General features: G+C 50.4%; 1 protein-coding gene across 2 annotated transcripts, besides 2 other annotated features; it reads left to right on the top strand.

Annotated features, from left to right (window-relative positions):
- Nucleotides 3,925-4,044: a silencer, noted in NCBI's record as "silent region_10346". NCBI's record gives its function as "represses an Ori minimal core promoter by ATAC-STARR-seq in GM12878 lymphoblastoid cells {active_cell/tissue: GM12878}" and the evidence as "EXISTENCE:reporter gene assay evidence [ECO:0000049][PMID:35858748]".
- TMEM221 (transmembrane protein 221) lies at nt 4,058-17,217 on the top strand. Of its 2 annotated transcripts, XM_011527603.3 has the most exons (4): nt 4,058-4,583; nt 7,442-7,527; nt 15,799-16,029; nt 16,685-17,217. In XM_011527603.3, the coding sequence occupies exons 1-4, from the start codon at nt 4,264-4,266 to the stop codon at nt 16,744-16,746; spliced, it is 699 nt and encodes a 232-aa protein (XP_011525905.1). In that variant the 5' UTR covers nt 4,058-4,263; the 3' UTR covers nt 16,747-17,217. The 2 variants fall into 2 exon arrangements, with proteins under 2 accessions (XP_011525905.1, NP_001177773.1); NM_001190844.2 differs by having other exon boundaries at nt 15,799-17,217.
- Nucleotides 11,357-11,406: a silencer, noted in NCBI's record as "silent region_10345". NCBI's record gives its function as "represses an Ori minimal core promoter by ATAC-STARR-seq in GM12878 lymphoblastoid cells {active_cell/tissue: GM12878}" and the evidence as "EXISTENCE:reporter gene assay evidence [ECO:0000049][PMID:35858748]".
- Nucleotides 17,218-17,555: the final 338 nt, after the last annotated feature.

Below are 17,555 nucleotides of genomic sequence, written 5' to 3'. Positions count from 1 at the left end.
TCACCCCCCATCCCCACCTCCCCACTCCCCACCTGTCTGAGCTGGAATGAGAAGGGCAGCTTAGCAAAAGGCCAAGGTAGATGAGCTCACCATCTACCAAGAGCAGTGTGGGGCCTGCTTGCAGGGTTAACTTTCCAAGTTGAAGCCAGACACCCCCAAACTAGAGAATCACCCCACATACAAACAGCAGGACCAGACCTTGGTATCTGTGTTCCCCCAACCCCAACAAATAATGGCAAAACCTAAGCCAGCACTGCAATGAATGTTGGCCATTTAGGTAAGTGTCCCCTTATTGTGGGGTTTCATGTATGTTTCCACCTCCCCCACCAGGCTGTGAGCACCAGAAGGGAGAGCTGGGCCTGTCTTGGTCACCCCTGGGTCCTCAGAGCCCAGCACGTAGATGGGCTCTCCACTGATGTTCGTCGAATGAATACATGAAAATATCTTGTATCTCTGTATTCCCACCACCCAGAGCAAACTGTAGCCCTGATCCAAATGAATTGCTGAGCCCTCAACGTGAGACTTTTCCTTACCTGGAAAACATGGAAAATTCACCCTAACACTGATGATGATGAAAGAATGAGTGTTGGGCTGAGGCCTGATGAATGAGTGAATGAATCAATCAATCGATCAATCAATTGAAAGAAGGAACAGGTTCTTGCTACATATGAAGAGGCCCAGAGAGGTTAAGGGATGTGCCCAAAGTCACACAGCAAAGAAGGAGGCCACCTGGAAGTGAAGGGTCACCCTCACCCCATACTCTTCCTTGGGGCCATTTTACCTACGAGGCTGAGGGCACAGGGCCCACAAACTCTTTTCAAGGGGCCCCAAAATTTTCAAACCTGAAAAAAAAACTTGATTCCAGTCCAGGCGCAGTGGCTCATGCCTGTAATCCCAGCACTTTGGGAGGCCCAGTGGGTGGATCAGTTGAGCTTAAGAGTTCCAGATGAGCCTGGACAACATAGTAAGACCCCATCGCTACAAAAAAATTAATTAATTAATTTAAAATAGAGAAAGGATTTGAATAGACATTTCTCCAAAGAAGATATATGAACAGCCAAAAAGCCCATGAAAAGATGCTTAACATCATTAGTTATTAGGGAAATGCAAATAAAAACCACAATGAGATATTACTTTATAAGCATCAGAATGACTATTATCAGGGAGGAGGAGGCTGGGTGTGGTGGCTCACTCTGTAATCCCCCAGCACTTCAGGAGGCTGAGGTGAGAGGATCACTTGGGCATAAGAAGTTTGAGACAAGACCAACATAGCAAGACCCCATCTCTACAAAAAAATTTTAAAAACTGGCTGGGTATGGTGGCTCACACCTGTAATTCCAACACTCTGGGAGGCCGAGGTGGGAGGATCACTTGAGGCAGGAGTTTGAGACCAGCCTGGCCAACATGGTGAAACCCTGTTTCTACTAAAAATACAAAAATTAGCTGAGTGTGGTGGTAGGCACCTGTAATCCTGCTACTTGGGAAGCTGAGGTGCAAGAATCGCTTGAACCCGGGAGGTGGAGGTTGCAGTGAGCCGAGATCTCACCACTGCACTCCAGTCTGGGCAACAGAGTGAGAGTTCATCTCAAAAAAAAAAAAAAAAAAAAAGGCTATTATGAGGAAGGAGGAGGCTGGGTGTGGTGGCTCACTCCTGTAATCCCAGCATTTAGGGGGACTGAGGTGAGAGAATCACTTGGGTATAAAGAGTTTGAGACCAGACCAACATAACAAGACCCCATCTCTATGAAAAAAAAAAAAAAACTTAAAAATTAGCCAGGCATGCTGATGCTTGCCTGTGGTCCCAGCTACTTGGGGAGAGGCTGAGGCAGAAAGATCACTTGAGCAGGAGGTCAAGGCTGTAATGAGCTATGATCACACCACTGCAATCCAGCCTGGGTGACAGAGCAAGGCCCTGATAAAAAAAAAAAGAAGAAGGAGGAGGAGGAGACGAGGAGGAGGAAGAAAGGAGGAGGAGGAGAAGGAAGGGAGGAGGAGGAGGAGAAGGAAGAGGAGGAGGAGGAGGGCAGGAGGAAACACGTGTTGGGGAGGATGTGCAGAAAATTATTTTTAAAAACCTCAGACATTGCTGGTGGAAATGGAAAACGGTGCAGCTGCTGTGGAAAAGTTTGAGGGTTCCACAAAGAGTTAAAATAGAGTAACTATGTGACTCAGCAACTCCACTCCTAGGAGTCCACGCCCCACAAGAATTGACAGCAGTGACTCAAGAAGATACCTGTGCACACATGTTTATAGCAGCATTAGTCACCTTCACCAAAAGGAACCAACAACACAAATACCCATCAATGGATGAACGGATGAACACAATGTGTTCCAGACACGCTATGGAATATTACGCAGCCATAAAAAGGAATGAGGCACTGATCCATGCTACAACCTCGATGAACCTTGAGTACATCATGCAGAGTGAGAGAAGCCAGAATGCCACCTCTTGTATGACTCCATTGATATGAAGTGTCCAGAACAGGCAAATCGACAGAGACAAGAAGTAGATTAATGGTTGTGAGCCACTTGAGGAGGGGGAATGGGGAGTGGCTGGTAATGGGGATGGGGTCTCCTTTTGGGGGGATGAAAATCTTCTGGAGCTAGACAGAGGTAATGATTGTACAACACTAAATGCCACTGAATAAAATGATTAATTTTATGTTATGTAAGTTTCATCTCGATTTTTTTAAAGTGCTGTGCGAATAATTTGGGGGACCAGTTGGGGAAGGGATCCAGGATTCTCCCTAGCCTCCTAGAGGAAGCAACGGTTACCCAAAGGCTTGAAGGAAGTAAGCAGAGGGGAAATCACAGCCAATGACAGAGTCCCTGGGTTGAGATCAAATGAAAAGTGAATTTTTAAATTTTGTTATTTCTTTTTTGAGACACAGCCTCGCTCTGTCACTCAGGCTGGAGTGCAGTGGCGTGATCTCAGTTCACTGCAGCCTCGACCTCCTGGGCTCAAGCGATCCTCCTGTCTCAGTCCCGAAAGTAGCTGGGTCCACAGGCGTGCACCACCACACCAGGCTGACTTCCTTATTTTTTGTAGAGATGGGGTCTGGCTATGTTGCCCAGGCTGGTCTCAAACTCCTGGGCTTAAGCCATCCTCCTGCCTCAGCCTCCCAAAGTGCTGGGATTACAGTTGTGAACCACCTCACCCAGCCCTTTCTCTCTCTCTCTCTTTTTTTTTTTTTTTTTTTTTGATGGAGTCTTACTCTGTCAGCCAGGCTGGAGTGTGCAGTGGTGCAATCTCGGCTCACTGCAACCTCCGCCTCCCTGATTCAAGCATTCCTCCAACCTCAGCCTCCCGAGTAGCTAGGATTACAGGCCATGCACCACTACGCCGGGCTAATTTTTTTTTTTTTTTTTTTTTTTAGTAGAGACGGGGGTTTCACCATGTTGGCCAGGCTGGTCTTGAACTCCTGACCTCAAGTGATCCGCCCACCTCGGACTCCTAAAGTGCTGAGATTACAAGCGAGAGCCACCGCGCCCGGCCTCCTTTCTCTTTATTTTTTATTTTTTAATTAATTAATTAATTAATTTTGAGACGGAGTCTCGCTCTGTCGCCCAGGCTGCAGTGCAATGGCGTAATCTCAGCTCACTGAAACCTCCGCCTCCTGGGTTCAAGCAATTCTCCTGCATCAGCCTCCCGAGTAGCTGGGATTACAGGCTCCGGCCACCACGCCCGGCTAATTTTTGTATTTTTAGTAGAGACGGGGTTTCACCATATTGGCCAGGCTGGTCTGGAACTCTTGACCTTGTGATCCGCCCGCCTCGGCCTCCCAAGGTGCTGGGATTACAGGCGAGAGCCACCGCCCCCGGCCTCCTTTTTCTTGTTTTAAACCACAATACAATCGATGCTTAGGGCGGCAGGGGGCGGGGTGGTGCCCTTTTCTGAACTTAGCGAGCTGTGGGGTTCCCGCGATCCAGTCCCTAGTGGGGCCTCCCCGCCCTGCGCCCGGTGCCAGGCCCCGCCCCGCCAGGCCCAGCGGACCAAGAGGGGGCGCCCGCGGGGCCCCGGGAGGGAGGAGAAAAGACTTTGTCCCAAGTTTTCGCGGAGATTCGGCGTCCCGGCTGCGACCAGCACCCCGGAGCCCCCGTCCGTCTGGCGACCCCCAGCCCAGTCCCCGAACTTTCAGACACTCCCTGCGGCCCCGCCCCCTCGGGGACCCCCTGAGGACCCTCGGATTCCCCCCAACTCCCCTGCCCTCTAAAACCACTTCAATTCCTCAACTCTTCCCCCGGCCCGCAGGAACCCCCGCCATGGCCCGTTCTTACGGCGGCCGGGTGCTGGCTGCAATGACCCTGCTGGGCATCGCGGCGGCCGTGCTGGCGGCGCTGGGCGCGCAGCTGCTGTTTCAGCTGCAGGCGGGCCGCGCCGAGCTGCGGGGGCTGCGCGCCGAGGGGCTGGGCCAGGAGCTGGGCGCCGGCCCCGGGCTGCCAGAGGACGCGGCCGGGACGCTGCTGCCGCTGGCCGCCGCGCTGGCCGCGCTGGTGCTCGTGCTGGGGTTCACCTGCTTGCTGCTCGCCGCGCTCTGTGGCCACCTGGGCGCCGAGCTGGCGCGGGGGCCTGGCCCCAGGAGGTAGGAGGACTGGCCTCACCGCCTCGGAGGCCCGGCTGGGGGCTGGGTGAGCCTGGTTGAGCCTCTTCCCCTCTTTTGGCCTCAGGCTGGGGGGACAGCTTCCCTCCCCACTTCCCTCTCCCCACCACTCCATGTCTCTCTGCCTCCCTCCTTTCCTCTCCTCCTCCCTCCTTCCCTCCCTCCATTCTATATTTGTTCAATTTTGCAGCAGGTGCAACCACTGCTGTGTCTCGCATTTTGCAGATGAGGAAACTGAGGCTCAAAGAGGGTCCAGGATCAGCTTGCCTGGATCTCAAACAGGGGAGGCTGAGCTCTCAGGCTGTCTGGCTTGGAAGTGGGTGGGAGGCGGGACAGTGCTGGACTTGAACTTGGTTCTGGGTAGAGCCAGCCAGAGCCTGTGTCCTGGTCTGAAATTGAGTTCCTTCCTCAGGGACCTGAACTCAGTCAGGGATGTGGTCATTGAGGGACCCCTATCAGGGGCAGTGGTTGTGGAAGGAGGAACCCTCCTTGAGCTGAGGACTCCGCTGTCCCACATGGTAGTGTTTCTCTCCAGAATGTCGGGGGAGAGGAGCCCAAATTCTAGTCCAGAATTCTGTGAAATTGAGCAGATGAGAACTCCCACCATTGAGGTAGATCCTATCCAGACCATGCACCTTCCACCCAAGGGACAATGAAATGCATGGGTCCCACGGGTCAGCAAACATCTGTTGGGTGCCTGCCTGCAGGGGAATGGATCTGGCTCAGGGCATCAGAGACAGCGGGGACCAAGTGGACCCAGACCTGCTCTCATGGGGTCACAGAAAATAAGGAAACATAACAAGGACAAGGCATGGTGGTTCACACCTGCAATCCCAGCCCTTTGGGAGGCAGAGGCAGGAGGATCATTTGAGGCCAGGAATTTTTTTTTCTTTTTTTTTTTTTGAGACAGAGTCTTGCTCTGTCACCCAGGCTGGAGTGCAGTGGCGCTATCTCGGTTCACTGCAGCCTCCACCTCTTGGGTTCAAGCGATTCTCCCACCTTAGCCTCCCGAGTAGCTGGGATTACAGGTGCCCACCACCATACCCAGCTAATTTTTGTATTTTTAGTAGAGGCGGGGTTTCACCATGTTGGCCAGGCTGGTCTTGAACTCCTGACCTCAAATGACCCACCCACCTTGGCCTCCCAAAGTGCTGGGAGGCCAGGAATTTGAGACCAGCCTGGGTAATATAGCAAGACCTTGCCTCTACAAAAAGAAAAAATAATAATTAGCTAGGTGTGGTGGTGCATGCCTGTAGTCCCATACACTTAAGAGGCTGAGGCAAGAGGATCCCTTGAGCCCAGGAGGTCAAGGCTGCAGTGAGCCATGATCATGCTTATGAATAACCACTGCACTCTAGTTTGGGCAACATAGTGAGACCTCATCTCTAATAATAATAATAATAGCAGATGGTAATGAGTGCTGAGAAGGAAAGGAAACAGAGAGATGGGATAGAGAGGAGATAGGACTTTGGGATTTCTTCTGCTAAGGAGGGTTGTGAGTAAGGAGGAAGGTGATCTGATTTAGGTTTTGAATGACCACCTCTAGCCACTGTGCTGAAAAGGGGACAGGAGGGAAGGCGACAGGAAGATGGGGAAGGCGTCCACTTTCATTATACTGGTGGGAGCTGAGTGAGGATGGAAGCTCTTATAGCCTCCACTTCCTCCTCAATCAGTCTCACCTCTTGGGGTCGCGGTTTGTATCATCAATAACAGCATGTGAAACTCAGTTTCCTCATCTCTCAAAGAAGCTTGTAGTCTGTAAAATAATGGAAGCCAGGTGTGTAGCAAGTATCTGCACATAGTAGCTGCATCCTGAGTGTTGAGTGTTTGAGTGGACTCATGCATATAGATGGGTTATAGGGGAAAGAGAATGGATGGTGGATGGATCGAAGTAAGGAAGGATGAATGGATGGATGGATAGATGGATGGATGGATGGATGAGGGGTGGATGGATAGTGAATGGAAGATGGATGACCAGTGGATGGGTGGGTGAGGGATGGATAGATAGGATAGCAGAGGGTGTTTAAATGAATGGATGGATGGATGAATAGCACATGGTTAAATGGATGGAAGGCTGTATATGAGTGCTGGTCAAATAATCAATGAATATGAATGGTAAATGGATGGTGGACACTGACTTGGAAAAATGGATGTGTGGATGGATGGAGCATAGATAAATGGATAGATATCAGATAGTGGATGGTGGATATCTAAATGATTGTATGGATGGATGAATGGGTGGGGCCGATGGATGGATAAGTGGATGGATGAATGAATTGATAAGTGGATGGATGAATGAATGAGTGGATGGATGACTGGTTTGATGGATGGATAAGTGAATGGATGGATGGATAAGTGGATGGATGGATGAGTGGAAGTATGGATGGATGGATGGGTGGATGGATAAGTGGACAGATGGATGAATGGGTGGATGAATGGATGAATGGATAAATGGATGGATGGATGGATGGGTAAGTGGGTGGATGGATGAATGGGCATATGGATGGATGGGTGGATGGATGGATGAGTGGACAAATGGGTGAATGGGTGGATAAATGGATGAATGGATGAATGGATAAATGGGTGGATAGATGGATGGATGGGCTGATGGATACATGAGCTGATGGATGAATTGATGGATAGATGGAGAGTGGATAAGTAAATGGATGTAAATGGGTGGGCAAGTAGATGGATGATGGTTAGGTACTCACATAGATTTTGGGTCCCTGAAAGCTGGGTCCTTGTCTCATTTAAGCGGCTCTCCCTCCCTGTCCTCACTGACCTCCCCCCACCAGCTCCACTTCCTGAACCCTTTATCTTCCTGCTCCCCTTCATTCCAGGTCTGACTGGTTTCTCTACGACTGCCGCCTCCTCAGACATGTGGCCCTTGGCCTTTTCTGCTGTGGGATCTCCGTCTATTTAGCAGGTGTGTGCTGGAATAGAACGTGGGGCATGGGACCCTGGGCTGGGTAGAGAGCAGCAATGGTCCCCTAACTGGGATCAACTCTGCAGACAGCCTCCTTGAGTTCAACTCCAGGCTCTGACACTTCTTTGCTTTGGTGCCTTGGGCAAAGTCTCTCTGTGCCTTGATTTCCTCATCAGTACAATGGGAATAACTGTCATTACCTCACAGAATCACTTGAGGAGATTCTGAGATTTAATCCTCATGAAAGCCCATAGGACCAGGCATAGTAGCTCACATCTGTAATCCCAGCAATATGGGAGACTGAGGTAGGAGGATTGCTTGAGGCCAGGAGTTTGAGACCAGCCTGGGCAACATAACAAAACCCCATCTCTACAAAAAAAAAAAAAACTATATATATATATAATATATATTTATTAAATATATAAATATATATTTATATTTATATGTTTATATTAATATATATTTATATAATATATTTATATTTATATATTATATATCTATATATAGACTTGGTGTGGTGGTACACACCTGTAGTCCCAGCTCCTCGGGAGGCTAAGGTGGGAGGATCACTTGAGCCCGAAGGTTGAGGCTGCAGTGAGCCATGATCACCCCACTGCACTGCACTCCAGCCTGGGTGATACAGCGAGACCCTATCTCATTAAAAAAAAAAAAAAAAAAAAGCCCGTGGATGGCATCTGACTCCAGCAGGGACTCCACAAATGCTAGCTGTCATCAGAACACTTCTGATTCATCAGTTTTATAATTTGTTTGAACAAAAATTTTCATGGCCTGCGTGGTGTCTAAAGATAGCATTTTGGCCAGGCGCAGTGGCTCACGCCTGTAATCCCAGCACTTTGAGGGGCCGAGGCTGGTGGATCACCTGAGGTCAGGAGTTTGATACCAGCCTGGCCAACATGGTGAAACCCCATCTCTACTAAAAATACAAAAAAATTAGCCGGGCATGGTGGTGGGCGCCTATAATATCAGCCACTCAGGAGGCTGAGGCAGGGGAATCACTTGAACCAGGGGGCAGAGGTTGCAGTGAGCCAAGATCGTGCCACTGCACTCCAGCCTGGGCAACAAGGGCAAAACCCCGTCTCAAAAAAAAAAAAAAAAAAAAAAAAAAAGATAGCATTTTACAGGTTGGAATGAGTGAAAGCTGTTTTGGTTACAAATATCAATCTCCAGCTCAAAAATGGCTTGAGAAAAAAAAAAAAAAGGATACCCCAGATGCTGGAACGCATCACACTGTCCTTCCTTCCTGATTTGTAATAACTTTTCTTCAATCAACTTTCTTTCATCCATCCGGGCTGGTAAAGGAATGAAATCATTAAGTGTCTTTCAAGAGACTCCTAACGCCTTATATTTGGTTTTAATCTTGAAACAAATGTGTTGATGATGCTGCGGACTCAATGCTGAATCATATATAAGTCCCTGCCAGCCCTGTAAACAATCTGTTTTACAGGAAGAAAAAATATCCTACTGAATGAAAAACAGGATTTGCTATTACTGTTTTTTTTTCATAGTCCCACCACAGAAAATAGAAATTTAAAAAGATATTTAGGCCGGGCGCGGTGGCTCATGCCTATAATCCCAGCACTTTGGGAGGCCAAAGTGGGTGAATCACTTGAGGGTAGGAGTTCAAGACCAGCCTGGCCAATATGCTGAAACCGCCCCCCCACCCCACCATTAAAAATTCAAAAAAATTAGCTGGGCCTGGTGGCAGCTGCCTGTAATCCCAGCTACTCGGGAGACTGAGGTGGGAGAATCACTTGAACCTGAGAGGTGGAGGTTTCAGAGAGCCAAGATCGTGCAACTGCACTCCAGCCTGGGTGACAGACTGAAACTTCATCTCAATAAATAAATAAATAAATAAATAAATAAATGTTTAAAAAGATATATTAAAAAAATTTTTTTTGATGCGGAGTCTCGCTCTGTCGCCCAGGCTGGAGTGCAGTGGTGTGATCTCGGCTCACTGCAAGCTCCGCCTCCTGGGTTCATGCCACTCTTCTTCCTCAGCCTCCTGAGTAGCTGGGACTACAGGTGCCCACCACCACGCCCAGCTAATTTTTTGTATTTTTAGTAGAGACGGGGTTTCACCGTGTTAGCCAGGATGGTCTACGATCTCCTGACCTCAGGTGATCCACCAACCTCGGCCTCCCAAAGTGCTGGGATTACAGGCGTGAGCCACCACGCCCGGCCCTGAGCCACCACGCCAGGCCCTCAAAATATTTTTAATGAGATGTGAGCCTAAGGCTCACTGTGGGAATTTATATATGTGAAGTGCACGGAACACTGCATAACTTTTGTTGTTTGACTTAATGAAATGCTCCAGAAGTAGTTTTTTTTTTAAAAAAAGGAGAAGGGATGGATGACTTGTGCATCTGAAATTGTCAGGGGAAGTTGGCTTCAGGTGTGGCTGGATCCAGGCACTCAAATTAGGTTATCAGAAATGCCTCTCAGCCGGGTGTGGTTGCTCACACCTGTAATCCCAGCACTTTGGGAGGCCGAGGCGAGTGGATCACTTGAGGTGGAGTTTGAGACCAGCCTGGGCAACATGGTGAAACTCCATCTCTACTAAGTATACAAAAATTAGCCAAACATTGTGGCATACCCCTGTAATCCCAGCTACTCCAGAGGCTGAGGCAGGAGAATTGTTTGAACCTGGGAGGCAGAGGTTGCACTGAGCCAAGATCATGCCACTGCACTCCAGCCTGGGCGACAGAGTGAGATGCCATCTAAAAAAAAAAAAAAAAGAAAGAAAAGAAAGAAATTAGCCAGGCATGGTGGTTCATGCCTGTAGACCCAGCTACTCAGGAGGCTGAAGGCAGGAGGATCGCTTGAACCCAGGGGGCGGAGGTTGCAGTGAGCCGAGATTGTGCCATTGCACAGCCTGGGTGACAGAGTGAGACTCTGTCTCAAAAATGATGTTGTTGATAATAATAATAATAATAAAAGAAAAAAGAAACAGAAATGCTTGTCACTTCACCTGTTCATCTGCTGTTCCCTGAATGGGCTTCTCTCTGAGAAAGATGCCTCTATCTGTAAGCACTTTTGACACGATGCCTGGAGCCTTGAGTCTTTGCACAGGCCAACAGAAATATTAAAGACCTAGGGAATAAGATATCCTCATTCTAAAATACAAGAACAATTACAAAAGGAAAAAAAAGGTAACATTATGTCAGCCTCACTAAGCGTAAAATTGAGAATTCATTCACCTCCCATTTAGATTGTTTTTGAGGCTAGGTGACCTCATTCAGCAAGAATTCCCAAGCACATCCAACCAATCATCCATTCATCGCTAGCTAGAACTAAAAGAATAATTACAAAATCCCTTTCAAAATGTTTCCAGCCAAAAAAAAAAAAAAAGTCCTTGGCCTTGCTTTCACATGTGGGACATCATGCAGTGTGATATCTTCCAAAGCAATAGTACAGAGCCAGAGAACGCGTATAAACAGCCTGGAAAGTGCCAAAAAAAAAAGTCCCCCATGTGTTCTGGGCCCCTCTCCTACCAATACCCTAGACGCTGCAGGAAAATCTATCTGTCCCAGTAGCCCAGGCTAAAGTCTCAGGGCTGACTCTGATAGGCTGAGCTTGGGCCATGTAATATTCCTCCACCAATCACTAACATCAGGGGAAGCAATTAATGCTCTGATTGGCTGAGCTTGGTCCAATGAGGACATCATTGATGCCAAAGTGGCTTAGTGATCCCAAATCCACTCTGCAGTGTAGAGATAGGGACCAAACCAGGGATTCTCCACTGAGACTGATTCTGGCCTCAGAGGAACTTTTGTCACTGCCTGGAGACATTTTTGGTGGTCGCCACAGAGTTGAGGGTGGGATGCTACTGACATCTAGTGGGTAAAAGCTGCTAAACGTCCTACGATGCACCACCACTAAGAATGGTGCCAACTGTATGCTGGAGAGGCTGATGGAGGGCTAGCTAGCTCAGGTCCTCAAAGTCCCTTCTTTTTTTTTTTTTTTTTTCTCTGAGATGGAGTCTTGCTCTGTTGCCCAGGCTGAAGTGCAGTAGAGTGATCCCAGCTCACTGCAACCACCACCTCCCAGATTCAAGCGATTCTCCTCCCTCAGCCTCCCAAGTACCTGGGATTACAGGAGCCCACCAGCACGCCCAGCTAATTTTTGTATTTTTAGCAGAGACGGGGTTTCATCATGTTGGCCAGGCTGGTCTCAAACTCCTGGCCTCAAGTGATCCGCCCACTTCGGCCTCCCAAAGTGCTGGGGTTACTGGCGTGAGCCACCACGCCCGGTCCCTCAAGGTCCCTTCTTATTCACATTGGCTAACTGAGGCCAGAGAGGGGTTGTGAATCTCTCAATGCCCCCCAAGCCTGGGGCGTGGCAAACCTGTGGGCACCAGAGAGTAGAGAGCAGAGGCTGGCTCCTCCACCTTGACCCTCACCCCCACCCCAGGCAGAGACAGACAGAGATGCAGGACCCTGAGAGCTGAGTTGCTGGGGGTGTTTCTGGTTTTGTTTGTTTAGAGACAGGGTCTTGCTATGTAGCCCAGGCTGGACTTGAACTCCTGGCTCAAGCAATCCTCCTGCCTCAGTCTCCCAATCCATGTAGCTGGGACTACAGGTGTACACCACCATACCCAGTTAAGTTGCAGTTTCACTGTGGCAAAGTACACATAACAAAAACATTACCATTTTAGGCCGGACGCGGTGGCTCACGCCTGTAATCCCAGCACTTTGGGAGACCGAGGCGGGCAGATCACGAGGTCAGGAGATCGAGACCATCCTGGCTAACAAGGTGAAACCCCATCTCTACTAAAAATACAAAAATTAGCCGGGTGTGGTGGCGGGCGGCTGTAGTCCCAGCTACTCGGGAGGCTGAGGCAGGAGAATGGCGTGAACCCGGGAGGCAGAGCTTGCAGTGAGCCGAGATTGCGCCACTGCACTCCAGCCTGGGTGACAGAGCGAGATTCCATCTCAAAAAAAAAAAAAAAAAAAAAATACCATTTTAACCAGTGTATTTTATTTCCATTTTTTGAGACAGGGTCTCGCTGTGTCACCCAGGCTGGAGTGCAGTGGTGTGATCATAGCTCACTGCAGCCTCCATGTCCTAGGCTCAAGCAATTCTTCTGCCTCAGCCCCGCAGCTAGCTGGGACCGTAGGCAAGCACTGCCATTCCTCGATAGTTTCTTATTTTTTGTAGGGACTGGTCTCCCTATGTCACCTGAGCTGGCGTCGAACTCCTGGCCTCAAGCAACCTCTCACCTCGGCTTCCAAAAGTGCTGGGATTACAGGTGTGAGCCACCTCGCCCAGCCGTTACCCACTTTAAAGTGAACAGTTCAGTGGGATTGAGCACATTCACGGTCTTAGGCAACGATCGCTACTATCTGGTTCCAGAATATTTTCATCACCCAACAGGAAACCCTGTCTCCATTAGCAATCACTCCCCATTGCCCCTTCCTCATCCCTGGAAGCCACTAATCTACTGTCTGTCTCTATGGATTTGCTTGTATTTTTTTTTTTTTCTTTTTTCTCGAGACAGCGTCTTGCTCTGTTGCCCAGGGTAGAGGGTAGCGGCGCGATCTCGGCTCACTGCAATCTCCACCTCCCAGATTCAAGCGATTCTCCTGCCTCAGCCTCCCAAGTAGCTGGGATTACAGGCACGTGCCACCACACCTGGCTACTTTTTATATTTTTGGTAGAGACAGGGTTTCACCATGTTGGCCAGGCTGGTCTCCAACACCTGACTTCAGGTGATCCACCCACCTCGGCCTCCCAAAGTGCTGGGATTACAAGCATGAGCCACTGCGCCCGGCCAGGATTTGCCTGTTCTGGACATTTCAGATCAATGACACCTCACACTCTGTGGCTATTTGCATCTGGCTTCTCTCACTCAGAACGATGTTTTCCTGGTTCATCCACATTGTAGAATGGAGCGGTGCCTCATTCCTTACATGCTGCATCATATTCCCTCATATGGGTATTCCACCAACAGGGAGGCTTTTTTTTTTTTTTTGAGATGGAGTCTCGCTCTGTCACCCAGGCTGGAGTGCAGTGGCGTGATCTCGGCTCGCTGCAAGCTCCGCCTCCCAGGTTCACGCCATTCTCCTGCCTCAGCCTCCTGAATAGCTGGGACTGCAGGCGCCCGCCACCACGATCGGCTAATTTTTTGTATTTTTAGCAGAGATGAGGTTTCACCGTGTTAGCCAGGATGGTCTCGATCTCCTGACCTTGTGATCCGCCCACGTCGGCCTCCCAAAGTGCTGGGATTACAGGTGTGAGCCACCGTGCCCGGCAAGGGAGGCTTCTTAAGAGATAGAGCAGGTGTCGGGCGCAGTGGCTAATGCCTGTAATCCCAGCACTTTGGGAGGCCGAGGCAGGTGGATCACCTGAGGTCAGGAGTTCGAGACCAGCCTGACCAACATGGTGAAACCCCTGTCTCTACTAAAAATACAAAATTAGCCAGGCATGGTGGTGCATGCCTATAATCCCAGCTACTCAAGAGGCTGAGGCAGGAGAATTGCTTGAACCCGAGAGGCAGAGGTTGCAGTGAGCTGAGATTGTGCCACTGCACTCCAGCCTCGGCAACAAGAGCAAAACTCAGTCTCAAAAAAAAAAAAAAAAAAAGATAGAGCAGGTAGGTCCTGTTCCTCCCCAGCTCCAAAATCCCCCTACTCATTGCTCTTAGAAGAAAACCCGGTAGGACACAGTGGCTCACGCCTGTAATCCCAGCCCTCTTGGCAGGCCAAGGCTAGAGGACCACTTGCGCTCAGGAATTGGAGACCAGCCTGGGCAACAAGGCGAAACCCCGTTTCTACTAAAAATACAAAAATCAGGCTGGGCCCAGTGGCTCATGCCTGTAATCCCAGCAGTTTGGAAGGCCAAGGTGGGCGGATCACCTGAGGTCAGGAGTTCAAGACCAGCCTGGCCAACATAGTGAAACCCTGTCTCTACTAAAAATACAAAAATTAGCTGGCGTGGTGGTGGGTGCCTATAATCCCAGCTACTTGGGAGGCTGAGGCATGAGAATCGCTTGAACCCGGGAAGCAGAGGTTGCAGTGAACAGAGGTCACACCACTGTGCTCCAGCCTGGGTGACAGAGCAAGATTCTGTCTCAAAAAAAAAAAAAAAAAAAATTAGCCAGGCATGGTGGCATGCACCTGTAGTCCCACCTACTCAGGAGGCTGAGGTGGGAGAATCACCTGAGCCTGGGGAGGTTGAGGCAGCAGTGAGCTGTAGCCGAGCCACTGCCTTCCAACCTGGGTGACAGAGCAAGACCCTGTCTCAAAAAAAAAAAAAGAAGAACAAGAACAAGAACAAGAAGAAAAAGAAGAAGAAGGAGAAGAAGGAGAAGACCCACACCCCTTTCTGTGGCCCCCACCCTCATCTGGTCCCCAACATCCACTCCTTCCTTAACTCCTCCATCTCTCCCCCACCTCTCCACCTTTCTGCTCCAGCTACACAACCCATTTTTCTTTTTTCTTTTCTTTTTGTTCAGACTGAGTCTCACTCTGTCACCCAGGCTGGAGTGCAGTGGTGCGATCTCGGCTCACTGCAGCCTCCATCTCCCAGGCTCAAGCAATTCTCCTGCTTCAGCCTCCTGAGGAGCTGGGATTACAGGCGCCCGCCACGATGCCCAGCTAATTTTTGTATTTTTTGTAGAGACAGGGTTTTACCATGTTGCACAGGCTGGTTTCAAACTCCTGACCTCAAGTGATCCACCTGCCTCAGCCTCCCAAAGTGTTAGGATTATAGGCGTGAGCCACTGAGCCCGGCCAGAACCCGTTTTGCTTTTTTCTGAGCCTCGGACACTCTTGGGTGTTTCCACCTCAGGACCTCTGCACTTGCCATGTCCCTGCAGCTGTCATCCTCCTCAGCTCTCCCAAAAACTGCTGCTTCTTCCCCAGGGTCTCAGCTCAAATAGCTCCTCCTCAGGGAAGCCCTGGCCCACAGCTGCTGAAATTAGTCTCTTTCTGTTGTCTCCTTCGGAGGCAGCACTGTGCTTCAGAGCACAGACTCTGGAGCCCACCAGCCTGGGTTAAAATCCCACCTCTGTCACTTCCTGGCTGTGTGGCTTTGAGGAGTCCCCTAACCTCTCTGGGCCCCAGCTTTCTTCTCTGTAAAATGGATGTGATGATGATGCACGAGTGGGATGTGGGAGGATTAAATGCCTATTCTATGTGCCTGTCATGTGGCAGGGCTTTTCGTAATTTCTCCCTGTGTGCAAGAACTCCCTGAGGGCTTGGAGGGCAAATGTTTGTTGACTGAATAAATGAGAGTCGTTTCCTTCCCTAGCACTGTCCATCTATGCCTTGCTACTTTTCGAGATCGAGACAGGCGCAGCAGCTGCTTCCATCCTCGGCTCGGGCACCCTGGTTCTGGTGGCTGTGCTGACCCACACTCTCCTCCGGGCTGCCCGGGCTGCCCGCCGTGGGCTCCATGAGTTGTCCCCGCCATCCTTTGAAGACGACCTCGCCCGCCCTGCCGAAGTCTCCAAGGCCAGCCCCAGAGCTCAGCCTCAGCAGGGTATCCATCGTCGGACCCCCTATTCAACCTGTCCAGAGCCTGGGGACCCCTTTGGGTCCATGGCCACTGCCACAGCACCTGCAGCCCTGGAGGGAGGCTGGGAGAGCAGCCTGCCTGCATCCAGAATGCACCGGACACTGTCGGCTGGCCTGGGGCACTGGGACGGGGTTACGCACGAGATGCGTCGAATGCTGGGCCACAGACCAGGGAGCATGGGGAAGGACTCCACACTGGTGTGAGCCCAGGGATGAGGAATAGAGACCTGGTGTAAGAAAAGGATACCATAGAGATAGGTTCGGGTTCAGCTGCAGTAGCAGTAGGACTTGATTTTTCTCTCATTTTATTGCATCCTTGGCTTTTGTCCTCAAGGTTGCCTCGTGGCACAAAATAATTGCCAGAGCTCCAGCCTTCACCTCCTCATTCTGAGGGAAAGTCAGAGGCCAGCGCTGGCTAGGTGTCTCCTGGAAGTCTTCCCAGGAAGCCTCGAAACCCTTCTTTTTATATCCCACTGGCCAGAACAGAGCGAAATGGCCATACCTTGCTGCAGGGGAGGCTGGGAAATGTGGCTGTCCAGATGGATGAGATTCTGTTACAGGCATAAGGGGAGCGGGGGGCTTAGGCAGTGATTCTCTAAGTGTCTCCATCCATTTCACAGATGAGGAAACGGAGGCCCCAAGAGAGGCAGTGACTCACCAGGGGGCCCACGGCCAGGACTGAGCACCAGAGCCAGGATTCTCACCTGAACCCCATAATCTCCATGCTGCTGATGTGCAAGTCTCAGACTCTGCAAAATCCACTGCACCCCCTCGGGCTGTGAACATTTCAAATCCATGTGTGCCAAGCTTGGAGCAGCCCAGGGCCAGGGGCACGGCTGGAGAGCTGGACCCAGGTTCCTGGCTGTGGACCCATGGCTGAGGGCTTAGCTGCTTTGTGCCTCAGTTTCCTCATCTGTAATATGGGGACACGAAGTGGCCCTGTCTCCAAGGGCTCTGACAAGACACATGACTTCATGTGAGGCATTCCGGGGACCCCCACACAATAGGTCCTCAATGTGTGTTAATCGTTCTCATGCTGCTGCTGCTTTTGGGGTGTAGGCATGGGTAGTTTCTGGGGCTCAAGGAAATAACAGAGGGGTCTCCAAAGGTCTCCTGTCTTGCACAACCCACAAGTAAACTCTGATATTCACTATCTGTGTGTTACTCAATGTTCAATTGTGCTGCGTGGCCAAGCCCAGGCCCATGGGTGGGACTTGGGTCGGGGGAAGGAAGGGCAAAAGTGAGAGCCAGGCCATGCCCCTTGTAGTCCCCAGGCTGGGACGCATGCTCCACCAGTTAGTTTTGTTTGGTTTTGGTTTTGGTTTGAGACAGAGTCTTGCTCTGTCTCCCAGGCTGGAGTGCAGTGGCACAATCTCGGCTCACTGCAACCTCCGTCTCCCAAGTTCAAGCGATTCTCCGGCCTCAGCCTCCTGAGTAGCTGGGATTACAGGCACCCACCACCATGCCTGGCTAATTTTTATATGTTTAGTA

Source organism: Homo sapiens, chromosome 19, assembly GCF_000001405.40.
Source record: "Homo sapiens chromosome 19, GRCh38.p14 Primary Assembly".
In the NCBI taxonomy this organism is placed as follows: domain Eukaryota; kingdom Metazoa; phylum Chordata; class Mammalia; order Primates; family Hominidae; genus Homo; species Homo sapiens.
Note: the sequence above shows the minus strand (reverse complement) of the source record. Positions and strands in the feature narration are given on the sequence as shown.